The 15144-nt window shown below is 39.6% G+C and overlaps 1 protein-coding gene across 2 annotated transcripts in view, besides 7 other annotated features; it reads right to left on the bottom strand.

The window, feature by feature from the left end:
* Positions 1 to 14369, bottom strand: part of ITGA4 (integrin subunit alpha 4) — an 81736-nt gene extending 67367 nt beyond the window's left edge. The window contains exons 1-2 of one of the 2 annotated variants that reach the window (NM_001316312.2): positions 13723 to 14369; positions 13257 to 13378 (exon numbers count right to left, since the gene is read on the bottom strand). In NM_001316312.2, coding sequence (NP_001303241.1) covers positions 13257 to 13378; positions 13723 to 13919 — 319 coding nt within the window. In that variant the 5' untranslated portion in view covers positions 13920 to 14369. The remainder of the gene's footprint in view (positions 1 to 13256; positions 13379 to 13722) is intronic. The other variant, NM_000885.6, reaches the window with a different exon arrangement.
* Positions 9247 to 9296: an enhancer, noted in NCBI's record as "active region_16833". NCBI's record gives its function as "activates an Ori minimal core promoter by ATAC-STARR-seq in GM12878 lymphoblastoid cells {active_cell/tissue: GM12878}" and the evidence as "EXISTENCE:reporter gene assay evidence [ECO:0000049][PMID:35858748]".
* Positions 10315 to 10364: an enhancer, noted in NCBI's record as "active region_16832". NCBI's record gives its function as "activates an Ori minimal core promoter by ATAC-STARR-seq in GM12878 lymphoblastoid cells {active_cell/tissue: GM12878}" and the evidence as "EXISTENCE:reporter gene assay evidence [ECO:0000049][PMID:35858748]".
* Positions 13142 to 13191: an enhancer, noted in NCBI's record as "active region_16831". NCBI's record gives its function as "activates an Ori minimal core promoter by ATAC-STARR-seq in GM12878 lymphoblastoid cells {active_cell/tissue: GM12878}" and the evidence as "EXISTENCE:reporter gene assay evidence [ECO:0000049][PMID:35858748]".
* Positions 13552 to 13601: an enhancer, noted in NCBI's record as "active region_16830". NCBI's record gives its function as "activates an Ori minimal core promoter by ATAC-STARR-seq in GM12878 lymphoblastoid cells {active_cell/tissue: GM12878}" and the evidence as "EXISTENCE:reporter gene assay evidence [ECO:0000049][PMID:35858748]".
* Positions 13662 to 13851: an enhancer, noted in NCBI's record as "active region_16829". NCBI's record gives its function as "activates an Ori minimal core promoter by ATAC-STARR-seq in GM12878 lymphoblastoid cells {active_cell/tissue: GM12878}" and the evidence as "EXISTENCE:reporter gene assay evidence [ECO:0000049][PMID:35858748]".
* Positions 14002 to 14391: a silencer, noted in NCBI's record as "silent region_12156". NCBI's record gives its function as "represses an Ori minimal core promoter by ATAC-STARR-seq in GM12878 lymphoblastoid cells {active_cell/tissue: GM12878}" and the evidence as "EXISTENCE:reporter gene assay evidence [ECO:0000049][PMID:35858748]".
* Positions 14572 to 14681: an enhancer, noted in NCBI's record as "active region_16828". NCBI's record gives its function as "activates an Ori minimal core promoter by ATAC-STARR-seq in GM12878 lymphoblastoid cells {active_cell/tissue: GM12878}" and the evidence as "EXISTENCE:reporter gene assay evidence [ECO:0000049][PMID:35858748]".

Raw genomic sequence — 15144 nt, 5'->3', positions numbered from 1 at the left:
TATACAGTTGTTAGTTAATCCACTCTTAGATACTGAAAGATGACTCTCAACATCAGCACTCAAGGGTTCTTAGACACACAGGATGCGATCACTCAGAGGAAATTGTGGTGAAATTGATTAATATCTTGTAGGAATAAGTATTTTCATTTTTGTTAAGGTTAACTACATTTATTTATTTACAATGTTTCTGGCCTATTTCCAAGGCTTAGTAAATAGTGACCTCATTCATCTTGCCCAGGACTGTATCTTTGTCATAATCCCACCCCCGACAAACAGCCCAGAAATGGGTGCTGAAATGGAAAGGTCAGTAAACGAAAAACAATTCAAAGCTTCTATTATGGTTTGACTAAACATCTTCTGCTTATTTCATATATCTTAATTCAAAATGTGTGTAAAAAGAATGAATGCATAGCCAGAAAGAAAGTTCATGGAAATAGTCATGAAACAATCATTCTTCCACAGAAGAAAAACCAATCTTAATAAGTGAGCAAATACATATACTACATTTAGATATGTTTCCCCTTTTCACTTCTTAACACTGTTTTTACCATAGAGGCAGCCCCCAACAGCAATAATATTGAGGTAACTTTCAAGTACTGGTTACAGGTTAGAATCTGTTCAGAGAACATCCTGTAATTTCCCCTAGTGTTCTGGGTTTTTTCTTAATTTCTGGGACTTTTTCTCTTTTTATTTTTTAGGGAGATAGGATCTCACTCTGTCATCTAGGCTGCAGTGCATTGGCGTGATCATAGCTCACTGCAGCCTCAAACTCCTGGGCTCTTGTAATCCTCCCACTTCAGCCTCCTATGTAGCTGGGGATATAGGTGCCCACCACCATGCCCAGCTTCTCTTTTCTTTTGTTGTGCCTGCGGAATCTTGGTAGAAGAAGTAAGACTGCTACATGATCAGCTTGTGATCATGGCCTTCTCCAAAGCTTTTCTCCCTTAACCTGTGTGATCCTGAGTCCACTCCTTTTCCACTCAGTACTCAGCCTTGACTGGACGTTAGAATCAACTGAAGGGAGTTTGAAACCAGTACCTCCACTTGGGCCCCACTCTTAGAGGCTCAGACTTGACATGTCTGGGTTAAGAACCAGACATAAGAATTTTTTTGAAGCCCCCCAGGTAGTTGTAGCATATGGTTGGGCTTGTGAACAATAGCTCTACAATGTAGCTCAGGGGTGTCCAATATTTGGTTTCCCTGGGCCATACTGGAAGAATTGTTTTGGGCCATACGTAAAGTACACTGACACTAATGATAACTGATCAGCTAAAAAAAAAATTGCAAGAAAATCTCATATTTTTTTTCCTCTTTGACATATTGATTTTATTTTCTTTGGATATATACCTTCAGTGAGATTGCTGAGTCTTGTAATAGTTCTATTTTTAAATTTTTGAGGAATCTCCATACTATTTTCCATTATAGTTATACTTACTTTCCCATCAACAGTGGGCAAGGGTTCCCCATTTTTCCACATTCTTGCCAACATTTATATCTTTTTTTTTTATTATTATACTTTAAGTTCCAGGGTACATGTGCACAACATGCAGGTTTGTTACATATGTATACATGTGCCATGTTGGTGTCCTGTACCCATTAACTCGTCATTTACATTAGGTATATCTCCTAATGCTATCCCTCCCCCATCCCCCCACCCCACGACAGGCCCCGGTGTGTGATGTTCCCCTTCCTGTGTCCAAGTGTTCTCATTGTTCAATTCCTACCTGTGAGTGAGAACATGCGGTGTTTGGTTTTTTGTTCTTGTGATAGTTTACTGAGAATGATGATTTCCAATTTCATCCATGTCCCTACAAAGGACATGAACTCATCCTTTTTTATGGCTGCATAGTATTTCATGGTGTATATGTGCCACATTTTCTTAATCCAGTCTACATTGATGGACATTTGGGTTGGTTCCAAGTCTTTGCTATTGAGAATAGTGCCGCAATAAACATACATGTGAATGTGTCTTTATAGCAGCATGATTTATAATCCTTTGGGTATATACCCAGTCATGGGATGGCTGGGTCAAATGGTATTTTCTAGTTCTAGATCCTTGAGGAATCGCCACACTGTCTTCCACAATGGTTGAACTAGTTTACAGTCCCATCAACAGTGTAAAAGTGTTCCTATTTCTCCACAATCTCTCCAGCACCTGTTGTTTCCTGACTTTTTAATGATCGCCATTCTAAGTTTACGGATTGGTGTTGGGCAGCATTCAAAGCCATCCTGGACCACATGGACAAGCTTGATGTATTAACAGATGGTTATGCCTTTTCTTGTATTATTTAAAAACCTACTGTTTTAAAAATAAAAGTAATATCCTTTGTTCCCCCTTTGTTTAGTTACCTATTGAAATATCAAATGTTAAGCAAATTGTCTTTGGGTAGAAATACAATATTTCTAAGTTGGTCAAAAATGACGATTATTAGAACTGCCATGAGAGCTAATTCTCATGAATTTCTCTGACAGAACACCATAAACAACCTCAGATTATATTTTATCCAAATGTCAGGCTGAAGTGATTTATAATCTGGTTTTCAATTCAGTTCATAAATTACTCATCTAAACTCTTAGTAAATCAAATCAGCTCCATAATTGAAAAAGTACTTTACATGGTTTAACATAAAAGAGGTCAGCAGAAATTAACATGGTGATAATTTTCCCTGCTTTTAAACAACTAGAATGACTAATTCTTTCCACAGTTGAATGCATTTTTCCACTAGATATTTAAAAAACAAAGCCACATTAAAAACCATCTCCTTTTAAGCCTTTCTCTTTCCTATTTTTTTTAATTTGGGAAAGAAAATGTAAAAATGCATGCTTACTACAGTTTATTTCTTCCTACTGATGTGTATCAGCATATATAAATGTGTATATAAATGCAAATGAACAGGAATTTTGATCAAAGAAATACTACAAAGCTAGTTAAATACATTCTTTACTCCTCCCCCTTTCATTCTTATTCATATCACCAGTTTTAGTGTCATTGCTCCAAGTGTGACAGGGACTATGGGAGATTAGATATTTGACCTTGTATGTCACCTCCATGAGGGCAGATTGACTTTTGTTGACAGCAGCATTCCCACAGCTCAAGATAGTGCCTTACATGCAGTAGGCAGGAACTCAGTATGTATGAGGGAGGGAATTTTGAAATACATTATATCACCACAAAAAAATCCTTTACTAGAATGTACTACTGCATAATTATCACCAAACTCTCAGAGATCTAAGCTTTGGAGAGGTCTTTTCTCTTTACTATGATTCTCCCCTACTTCTCTTCCAAAATATTATTTTCTTCAATTTTAAGACAGTAACAGATGGTCTGAAAGGAAACAGTCTCTGAGTTTGAAGATCTTTACAAAGGATGATTTGTGAGTGGGATGACTTAAGACAGAATCAGCTGGGGTCCTCAGAAGATGCCTATCTCCGAGGGTTTCTGCAAGGACTGTGGAGTAAATGAGATATGTGTGACGTGCTTGGATGACAGCCTGGCAGCGAAAACATGCAAATGTTAGTTGCCATTGGCATCATCATATTAAAGATTAATGTAAGCATATTAAGCTGCACATGCAATGCAGCATATAACCTGGCTCATAAAATATATGTGGCATATCATTATTGGGGAACTGTAATCATACACATTAACTCATTTTACACCCACAGTAGTAGCAGAGGATTGCTGTATTATTAATCCTACCCTACAGAAGAGAAAATTGAGTCTTAAAGGAATCAAATAACTTGCCCAAATCCGTAAGTGGAAAGATTAGAATTAAAAAATAGCATCTTTGATCTCTAAGTTATTTCACTCTATAGCATAGAACTCTAGAAATATTCCAGACATATGAATTAACTGAAATCTATTCCACTTTCTGAAGCTTTTAGCTGAAAATATATAAAATATAGCAAATATGCCCACAGACTGTACAATCGACTTTCACTTGTTCAAGAAAAAGGTCACTTACTTGTTCCCTATCTTGCCCTGCTCTTTTCCTCCATTTAGAATGGTTCTCAGTATTTTGGCATTTCCACTAAAGAAAGAAGGACCAGGGAAAAGGTCAGACTCTAAGGTCTTCTTTCTATATAACTTTTGACAGTGCTAGTGAAATACTTTTTGGCTAGGAGAGCTTGGGACTTTCTAATGCAAGTAAATGCCTGCTTTATCTACCTGCGTCATCGTACTGTCACTTCCCCACCAATTCAGACATTTGACTGGGGCTCTCAGTCTGGCTTTCTGGCTACTAAGACAACATATATACTTACCTGATCTTTCAAAACTCATGATGTGATGTGAAGTTTCAGAAAAGCAGTAAAAGCCCTTACCTTCCACCAACTGTCTTTTTTTTTTAAGCTGAAGCTCTATTCCATTGTAAGACAAAACCCATACATTTCAAATTGTTCCACTCTAAAGTTTTTCTTAATCCTAAAACATGAATGACCCTTGTTCCAATTCCATATTTTATAAAGAGTCATTCATTCAAGATATTTTTTATAAAAGCAATAATTAAAGTATATAATCCCTTCACTCACATAACTTCAGATTAGGAAAAATATATTAAAAGTGAGAAAATCAATTCAAATATGAGAACATGACAAAATTTACCATTGCAGGGCTATGAGGATGACAGAAAACTTATGCTTGTGTATGCAAGAATGCCTGGCACCTAGTAGGTGGTCAATAAATAATCAATGCCTCTGCTCCTCAGGGTACGTGCATTATGGTGCTTTGAACTGAGCCAGCAGAGGGCGCTCACAATGCTGCAAGAATTGATCAGCAGTCTTTAGCTTTTTAATTAAAATGGCCCCTTAATTTAGTTTTTCCTTTTAAGTCCTAATACTTACTAAATCCATTAATACTAATTCATATAATAATTGACTATATTAAACTATGTACTCTTTTCACACATCTAGTTAAACCTGGTGGCAATGTTTCTAAAAGATAATGATGTTTATGAATTCTACAATAAAAATAATTTTGGGTGATGGAAAGTAAAATATCCTTGGGTTTTAGAGGTGATACAGGACATAAAAGTACCAAACTTCTAGAACTCTTTTCCTCCAGCTAGTCTAGTGGAGAATAAGAGTCAAAAGAGCAAAACATCAAAGTTGGAAACCATTCTCAAAGTATGTTTTTTTAAAAAAATGTGTTTAAATGTCATCTTTTCATATTGCCTAAATAAAATCTCACAATGGCCAATAATCATGCTCAATTTATGTGAGAAACAGTTTATATAATTGTAGTCCTGAAAAAGCCAGTTATTTCAGCTATTTTTTTTTATCTTATTCTATTCTATTTAGAAAGAGTTCAAGAGGTAAATGTCCCCAGAGAGTAGTGCCAAGCTTTATGGTTGCAATTTTATAAATCTGGGCTGATCCTGAGTCATCATGAGGCCTCAGAACTCTAACAACTAGGTCACTTCTGGGTTTGATTTTAGGTTTGGGGTCTCTGCCAGGACTTCTTCAAAATCCCACAGAAAACGTACGCAAGTCTTTTTAATAACTAAAGCTGAAAAATGTGCCCCAGCTGATACATTTTGTAAGCATAATTTAAAGAGGGAAAGTTAGTCTCTAATTACTAATACTTATTGCATGCTTACTACGTACCACAGTTTTAATACATGCAAAGACATGTATTAACTCACTTTTCATAACATCCCTATGAAGTAGACAATACTATTATCATCCCAATTTTATGGATGCAGAATCTGAAACAAGGGATGACTAAGCACTTGCCCAAGGTCACACCACTTGTAAGTGGGGAAGGAAGGGATTAAAACTCACACTATCAACCACCATCTGATGCTGCCAGACAATTAGTTGTTAGTACTTTTCCATTATTTTCAACTATGGACATTTTGAATAAACCTATACTATTCTGAAACAACCTATTAAAAGAGCATATTTAAACCTCTAACATTAGAAAATAAGGAAAGAAAATTCTGAACCTCCATGGTTTTCAATTAATCTCTTGGATTTAAAAATTCATTTGAAAAACAATCACTAATGTGTGGATGCCACTTTGTCTATCTTTGAAACAAGAAAATACAAAAATGTAAACAGAAAATACTCCAGGGAAATATGCTTGGTGGTCAGTATTAAAGTTCCATGCTTGGTTTTGGAATCCACAGGGTAGGATGGTTGAAAAAGAAAAAGAAAAAAAGACAGCAATGAAAGAATTAAAGGAGGTCAGGAAGATAGGAAGGCTTAAAAATACATGAGAAAAACCAGTGAGGAATGTATCATATTATCCTGGCCAATAGAGGATCAGAATGAGATGAGGAGTTACAGATATCAAAGGACGTTTCTCTGGGCAGAGTTTAAAGGATAAAATGTGATATTGACAATGACTGGCAGACAAAATGATTGTAGTCTAATGACTTCTAGAAAACTTCCGCAAGAAAACAGACTGGTATTGTGGTGAGGTAGACCTTGAAGGGATTCACAAACAGATGGTGCACATTGACCAGCATTTTCTACACAGGGCATAATGTCAAAAGAACATGTCTAATCCACTGCACACAAGGAGTCCCATAAAAGGGGTTTTTAGAACTAAGTCTACAATCTATTTTCTGAACATTTTTGTGAATTATAGTGTTTTACATAGTTTATATAAAAAAGATTTTCTATGATTTTTAAAAATTCTCAGAGGTAAAATGAGAACAAGCACACTGAGCCCAGACCTGTCACCTGTATGTCCACTTCCATATTCTAATTTGATGTTTCCAGCTAATCTCAAAATTAAAAATCCCTGCTTTTAAAGACAGTCATTTCCAAGCTCCCTATTTCAGGAGCAGGTGTTACTGTCTGAACTACCTGATATGAGTCTTTGGAACCCAAGGCGGACCTAGACACTTTGGAATGAGGCTGAAATGTGCAGCAAATCCCAGGGGATTTTGCCCAAATGTGAAAAAGATGAAAATTATTTCACATTTATTGAGCCCTTACATGTGCTCTTCAAAACCAGTCAGAACTGGGTCCACTACTCAGATTTCACTCCTCCAGGAAGCCTTCTCCCATTCATTTCTTCTCATCACTATGTACCTGTCTATTGTCATGCTTATTACATTATCTCATAATTAATTGTCCATTTACCTGTCTCTCCCATCATCTCAACTGAGTTACTCAAGGGCTTTAACCATGCCTTATTCAACTGTGTATTTCCAATACATAAGTAATCAATAAAATGTATTAATGAAGGAAGAACCCAGTTAAAAGTTATTGACGCTTGCTATTGTTTCTCACTTCTCAACCCTCTGCAGTGGATTCACCATTAAAGCTTGTCTTACCGAGGTTACTAATGAACTAATTCTCTAAATCTAATGAGACCTCATAATTTACCACCCTGGTTGATGTCTTGGCAACCTTTACTACTGCCAACTACTCACCTCTTCTCAAAACACTCTCTTCCTTTAATCAGGTTAATGTCAGATTGACCTGATTTTTCTTGCTACCTCTTTGGCTTCACCCTCTTAGCCTTTTTTTCAGCCTCTTTTCTTCTCCAGCGGTTCTCAAGCATGGATGAATACTGGAATCATCTGGGGACCTCTGGAAACTACTGGTGCCCTATAGACTTACCCCAGAGATTCTAGTAGTTTGAGATGGGCCACCAGAACTGTTAAAAGCTCTGCATGAGAATTTAAGTTACAGCCAGACTTGAGCAGCACTATTCTAATCACTTCTCGAACTGTAGGAATCCTTAGAAATTTGCCATTGGCCATTTGATCTATTTACCCCAGAGAGATGGTAATCAAAGCCTTGGAGGTGAATGGGGTTACGTCAATTACTCACCTCTGATTTGCTAGTACAGACCTCTCTACTGTCTACCACACCCATACATGGAACTGATCATAGAACTGATCACTAGATTTTTACTTCTATGTCTCACAGGAATCTCAAGCCAACGAAACTCATCATTTTGCCAGAAAACCTGCTGCTCTTCCCTTTTTCAGTATATTGGATCATCATCCATGTCACAGCCCAAATTAGAAACTTCAGTAACATCTTTGGAACATTCTCACTCATCTCTTTCATTCAATAATTACCAAGTGCTATCTCCTAAATACCTTCAGAATCTCCATGTTCTTCTCCACTGCTATTGCCAGTGTCCTTGTACAGACACTTGTCATCTGTAGTCTAAATTATAACAAAATCTTCCTACAACTGCCTCATTGCCTTCAGTCTTGACCCAGTTACTCCAAAGCATTCACTAACCTGCAACCAGAGAATCTGTCAAACACACAAATCTGATCATGTCACTCCCCAGTTTTAAATATCCTAGGGTAAATTCATACTTAGAGTTGTATCAGAAGTAATTCCTGCCTGCCTCTCTAACCTACAGTTTAGCTCACACTCCATAGTGCAACTGTACACAATTTTTAGTTCTTCAAAAGCATCGTGCTCTCAAAGACTTCAGGGTCTTTATACACACAGTTTGCTCTTTCTGGCAAACTTTTCCATAGCCTCTTCCTCTGGCTAACTTCTGATTATTTTTCAGTTCCCCCACTTGAACACCAATTCTTCAGGAATGCATCACTTTATTGTCTTACCTAGATTAAATCTCACCATACTTTCCTATAATAACCTATCTTATAAACTTTAAAGCCTTTGGGACAAGGAGTATGTTTCTTTTGTATGCCCAGGTTCAGGCCCTTAGGCATCCCTCAATGAACAACTGAATGGATAAATTACCCACATGTGCAACGGATTTCAGCATCTGACCCTAGAACTGTTGCCAAGGGGATATATTTTCAAGTCATTGGGTATATCACTCAGTGACCAAGTAAACTTAAGGCAAAAACTAAAGTGCATTTAGAAAGCCTCATCTCTCAAATTAGGTGGAAACCTCATCCTTTTGGGACATAAAGTTTGGGAAACTGCTGGAAATAAGGAAACTTCTTTCTGGTAACCTGATAGTTTATTAGTGAAGCTCTCTGTCTTGATTTTCTACATAATTGTATAACAGCCTTCATTCAGGGATGATTTTTCAAAATGACCAATCTGCAATCTCAGCTTCATAAGCTACAATTTAAAGCACATTGCAAATGAAAAAGTAAAAAGTTATCAAGAAAAACATATTTGAAGTTTCAACAGTGAGATATTTGCTATTTAATGTTAAGCTAATAACTCCTATGAATCAAGTAGAAGTGAGGATTAGGTAATCATTAGTTTAATAATGCAATGCTAATTAAATTCTTTCAAATAGGTTATATAATATGAACCAGGAGGCTGGCTAAGGTAATAAAATTTCCAGAAAGAAATCTAAATATGGGTAATGGTGACTAACTTGAGATGGGTCTTTCCTGTAAGAGAGGGACAGGCAGGCAGCTTGAAGGCCCAGTAACTATAGAACACTTAGTCTAGAAAAGAAAGTGAAAGTTCTACTCATTTATGCATAAATATCAGGAAAGCATCTCCTAAAGAGATAGCGTTATTTTTACACAGAGAACTTAATGTTTCTCTACAGCAGTGCTGTCCAATAGAAATATAATACAAGCCCATTGGAAATTTTAAATTTTATAATAGCCACATGAAAAAAGTAAAAATAAAATTAATTTTATTTAACCTAAAATTTTATTTCGCCTAATAAATCCAAAATATTATGTAATCAATAATTTTAAAGTGTTTGTTTCAATATATATCATAAAAATTAATGAGTTTTCTTATACTAAGTATTCAAAAGCCAGTATGTAATTTACATTACAGCCCTCTCATCGCTGACTAGCCACATTTTATGTGTTCAAAGCCACCTGTGGTTAGTGGATACTATACTGGATAGTGTAATTGTATAACTTTAGACTATTACCCAAATGAGAGTTAGTGTGTGTATAATGCTTTCAGTGGTAACTCCAAAGTAATGAAAGATCTGGAAACATATTTGAATAACCAAATAAAGACCATCTTTTTAGTGTAATTTGATAATCATTTCTATGTTTTATTATGTTCTATTTGAATATTGATAGTCCATGGATGGACTATGCTTAACTATATTAATTGAGTCATTATTTGTGACACCTTAATTTAGGAACCAGCTGTGATTAAAGTTTCCTTTAAACAAGCCTGATGATGCAGAGTGCCCGGGTGGAAAGTGGACATGTAGAAATCACCTGGGTCTCCTCAGATATAGTCTTCACGAGCAAGTCTGGGCCCAGACCCTCCTGGCAGAGAGACCACTTTCCTCTGGTACAAAAGAAGTGAGAGAAGAGATGTCTCTTGGGGAGTCAGGGAGGTAAAAGGAGGCCAACAATATATATGCAGGAAGAAAAGCACCTTGCGGTACTATCCAGGCAACTCTCTTGGTGCTGGCTCTGCAGTCAACTTGCTTGACTAAAAGGGGTATCTCATGCCTAACGTCTCTCACCCTGGGCATTCTAGATAAACAGGCAGGCTCACTTCTGCTTATGGCATGAATATACCATATGGGACACCTTGTCCACAGAGGGTAGGGTAGGCGAGATATGGACCTTCTCTTTTGAGGGGAGGAGTCTATCTGAATCAACCACTGATCTGAAATTCTACAGAGACTCAAAGACTAGTCCATGTGGATATTTTTAATTGTGTGGGAGATGGGCACCATTTGAAGACCCTACACCTTCAGGTTCTTGATAGCAAGTAAAGCTATTCCAAAGGAAAGAAGATACCTTACTGACATGGCAATCACAGATCGATCTTTAATCATTATAACATTTTTTTCTTCAGCCAACAAAAATTTCTCATTGTGTTTCATTTCAACTTCTACCTTTTAATGTATTACCTTTTAATTTTTAAACTTTTGGTTCAGTTTATCAATTGTCCCTATTAACCTCAGCCTGCTTGTTACAGATAACATACAGATAATAGATTTAAGTAAACAATAAAGAAGAACCACTATTTTTTGAATGTATTATGTGTCAGTACTGAGCTAAGCATTTTTGAAACATTAGAGTCACCCACATTTGAAACAGGACAACTGAAGCTATTTTATACAGAAGATTCACACACACACACACACACACACACACACACACACACTCTTCTACAGAAGATGGCTTATATATATTTACACACACTCTTGAAACTTCTTCATACAAAATAGTGCATAGCCCACAAACCTAAGAATCCTAAATTATCTTTATTACCAATGTATTGTTTTTAGTGTTTTATTTCTAGACTGTAGCCTCAATCCCTATTTTATAGCTTCAAGCTACCACTGAATTTATTCTGAATAGAGAGGCAGTTTCTTTACATGAGGAATAAAAGATATCTGTATTCTTTAGAATGTTACATGAGAAATAACTTCAGTCAACTCTTCGGCAAATACTCAAGGCATTACTATCACTATTAATGTTTTAACTCATTGACTGACTAGGAATCTTGCCTTTTTTCCTTTCATCCCAGTAAATACCTTGTAGATTGGCCAAAATTTTGAAAGTTAAAAATCAGTTTGGCTCATCATTTCTAATCAATTATCTTACTCATCAGTCAGGTTGATAAATTTTCACTCCACTTTTATTCATTCATCCATCCAAAAGATCTTCATTTAATTCATATCTATGACATATCTACTATGTTTACATTTCTCTGAGAACAGTCAACTCCCATGCTACACATGCCCAAACAATTTTTTCCTTCCATTGACAGGCATTATCTTAAATTTAATACAGTATTATGTCATGATTTATCCAGTTAAACACAGACATCCAGAAATAGATTCAGTGTCCATCCAGACAGGAAGTAGGCACTAAATATCAGTAGTTATAATGTCATGGATCAGGAAACTATGACAGGACAACAGAAATAAAATTGCTCCCTCCTGAGACCTTGCCAAGATCCTCTGGCAGACCAAAGTTGTCGGCTCCACTCCCTAATTCTTCACCCACAACTCTCTCATGCAATGAAAATTATGCTTTGCAAAATCATTCCAAAATGTATGGGTCTGTGAATGTTTTATGCATTCCTACTGTGATTTCTGGTATTGAGGATGCTTAACAAGAGGCTAGGGCTTATTCTACATGCTACAGACAACTCGTAGACTTTTATAGGTGCTCTGAGTTAAAAGTAAAAATTCCATTATGTTTATACTCTATCTGAATTCATCTGAATGAAGGGAACCAGCTTCACAGTTTGAAAAAGAGCAAAGACTACTATAAAATACAAAAGAAGTTAAAGATCCAATAACTAATCTCAAAAGTCCATTTATAGCAAAGAAATATAAAGAAGTACCAATTTTATTCACCGTTTACAGATGACCCATCAGCTCAGCAGACAACATATTAAACCATTCACTTAATTTTATTTGCATTGAAGATACATACATGGAAGAAAATGGCTTAGACTTTGGACGCATTCAGACCCTAGTTTGACTTTAGTTCCCACCTATCAGTCACTAGCTAAGTAACTTTTAAAAAGGTATTTGCAACTCTGAGCCACAGTCCTCATACATAAACTAGGAACAATGTCAACCATGACCCAGGGTTGCTTTAAGGGGAAAAAAGTTAAGCAATATATATAGCAGTAACACTTTGGAACAAGATAGGTCTTGTTATTTAATATTCCTTCCTCTTTCCCCACTTGCCTGTGTGCAACAAACTTGTCTTTGGCTTTGAAACATGAAACTTCTCCCCTCTATCAGTACACATTTTTCAACTTGTCACAAATCTGAGACATTGAGAAATGACTGCAAAAAGATGGACCCATATAACATGAGTTTTGGATGACGGTTTTGGGAATGGAAAATTATACTACATTAACGATGAAGATGCCAATTTTCCTTTTCTTTTAGATTGTATATTGTAAGTAAAACTATCACTTTTTTTTTTAGGCCTTTAGGTTAAACGACGGGATATGGGATCAATTCCAATTGCTATTCCTGATATGCTCCTTAGCCTGTTCTTTAAGAGGGTTGATAGGTCAAAGATGGAAATAAAATTCTCAAGTCTTGGCTTAGCTGGATCCTGTCCTTAATACGCTGAGAGAGTCTAAAATGTGCTTTACACACGGAGAGACGGGGAGAGATGAAGAGAAGGTATCATAAGAAATTTCTCTAGCATAGTTGTCAGAGTACTGCAATCATTGCCATAAGGAAAAGGGAGAACGATATTAACAGAAAGGGAATCCCTTTTATATTAAGGAGGCAAGATGAGATGGAGTTGAAACTGAAAACTTTATGCTCTTTAAACCAGAAGTAACAGGCAACGTGAATCTTTCCAGGACTTGCCCTATGGTGGGGTCCACATGGGGGGTCGGGAGGTCACTAACTCCTGGTCCCATACCCAACTCACCCAGCTGGAGCTGTTCGCACGTCTGGCCGGGATTCTTTCCGATCCTGCATCTGTAAATCGCCCCGGGATTGATCACTGAAGCGTTGGCGAGCCAGTTGGCAGTGGGCGCACCCACTAGGAGCCTAAAGCGAGACACGTGCACGTGCGCTCAGACGTGAGCTGTGCTGCCCACTGAGCTCCCTGTCGCCACAGATGTGCAGTCCGCAGCAGGGCAGCTTCCCCACCTCCTCCTCCGCCCACCACCCCCGACTCGAAGCTCCAAGACCTTGCACCATAACGCACCCGGGGCGCTGCCGCCCCAAGATAAGTTAGTTTCCCTGGCAGATTTCCAGCGAGCTGGCTCTCGCAGCGTTTCCCTCCTGCCTCCTTGGGAGGGAGGAAAGTTTGAATCGGGCAGGGAATCCCTAGGGCGCCATTCTCACGCCGCTCTGAGCTGCTGAGGGCGCATCAGTCCAACTCTACTCACCATCGGTTCGCCCCGTGGCTGTGCAGCACGACCGAGTAGCCGAACAGCGTGTTGTGGGGGCCCTGGTAAAGCAGCGCGCTCTCAGTGTCCACGTTGTAGGGGCGGCCGGTCGGGACCCCCAGGCACAGCAACAGCATCACCGTCTCCCGGACGGCGGCCCTTCGGGGGCCGGGTTCGCGCCTCGCTTCCCAAGCCATGCGCTCTCGGTGGGGAACATTCAACACTAAACGGCCACTACCCCAAAGTTGCACGGGATGCGACGGTTGGCCAACGGGGAAGAACGCCCCAAGAGATGAGGCGCAGCGTGTCCGGCGCCAGCGGGCTAAAGGAAGGAGAGAGGGAAGAGGAGGGGAAGTCGGCCCACCGCGGGCGGAGCGTTCGGGCCGGCCTGGGATGCCGCGCACTCGCCCGGCCCCACTCCCGGTTTCTGCCGCCAGCCGGGAGCTTCGGGTGCTCGCGCTGCTTCTCCGGGTACGGGCCGCTGGGTGGGGTCCCGGGCGTGGTGCGGAGGCGCAGGGCCGGGCTCCGTCTCTGCCTACGCGCGGCTGCAGGGGGCGCTGGGGAACCTCGGCTGCGCAGGACTCGCGTCCTGGCCCGGGCCTCCCAGCCCGCAGAGCGCGGGATGGCTCTGGGCTCAGCAAGAGCGGACCTGATGGGGCACGGGCTTCCCCTTTTAACGGTGGTTGGGGCCTAGAAGCGGAGCTGTGTGACCCCAAACTGCGCGCCCCTCGCTGTGACCGCCCAGCCCGGCGTGGCCCAAATGCCAGCCACAAACTCGGGGAGTGGGACTGCGGCGGGGAGCCGTCCAGTTCTTTCGTTGATAGTTAAACACTGTGTCTTGTTTTTCAGGTGTAGGCAACCACTAGATAAATTATCAAGAGCCACAGATTAAAAACAAAAAACCAAACAAAAAGACTCGCCGAAGGCCCCTGGGGAACATTTTAGTGACAAAGACGTTATGGCTATTCTCTTCAAGACCCACATCTCAGCACCCTTCTATACCCACTTCCTTCCTCCCCACACTTCCTCTGCAGCCCGGGCTGCATGCGTGAGCAGGCTAGCAGCAGCCTCTCAGGCTGAACGGCAGGCGGTTTAGGCTGTGGCTGACCCCAACAGAGAGGTTGGGTTAAGGAAGCACTGTGACTTGATTCACTTTAACCGATTCGGATTGCTCCAGCTGGTAATTGATGATCCCCCCTTTTCACGCACCCACTCAGTTGCCACGGGACACACCTGCTTTTAGGGGTGTAAACCCCAGTGTGGGGTCAGGGTCCTAATGAGCCTCTGAAATGTGCCGGAGACCCACAACGCAACACACCTGAACTGGGTAGTGAGTCTCATTCTAATGCAATCCAGGTGTGCCCTGCCTTTTTTTTTTTTTTCCTTCAGCAACCAGAGAGACAGCCATAGGTGATTATTAGA

Source organism: Homo sapiens, chromosome 2 (genome assembly GCF_000001405.40).
Source record: "Homo sapiens chromosome 2, GRCh38.p14 Primary Assembly".
NCBI lineage: Eukaryota > Metazoa > Chordata > Mammalia > Primates > Hominidae > Homo > Homo sapiens.
Note: the sequence above shows the minus strand (reverse complement) of the source record. Positions and strands in the feature narration are given on the sequence as shown.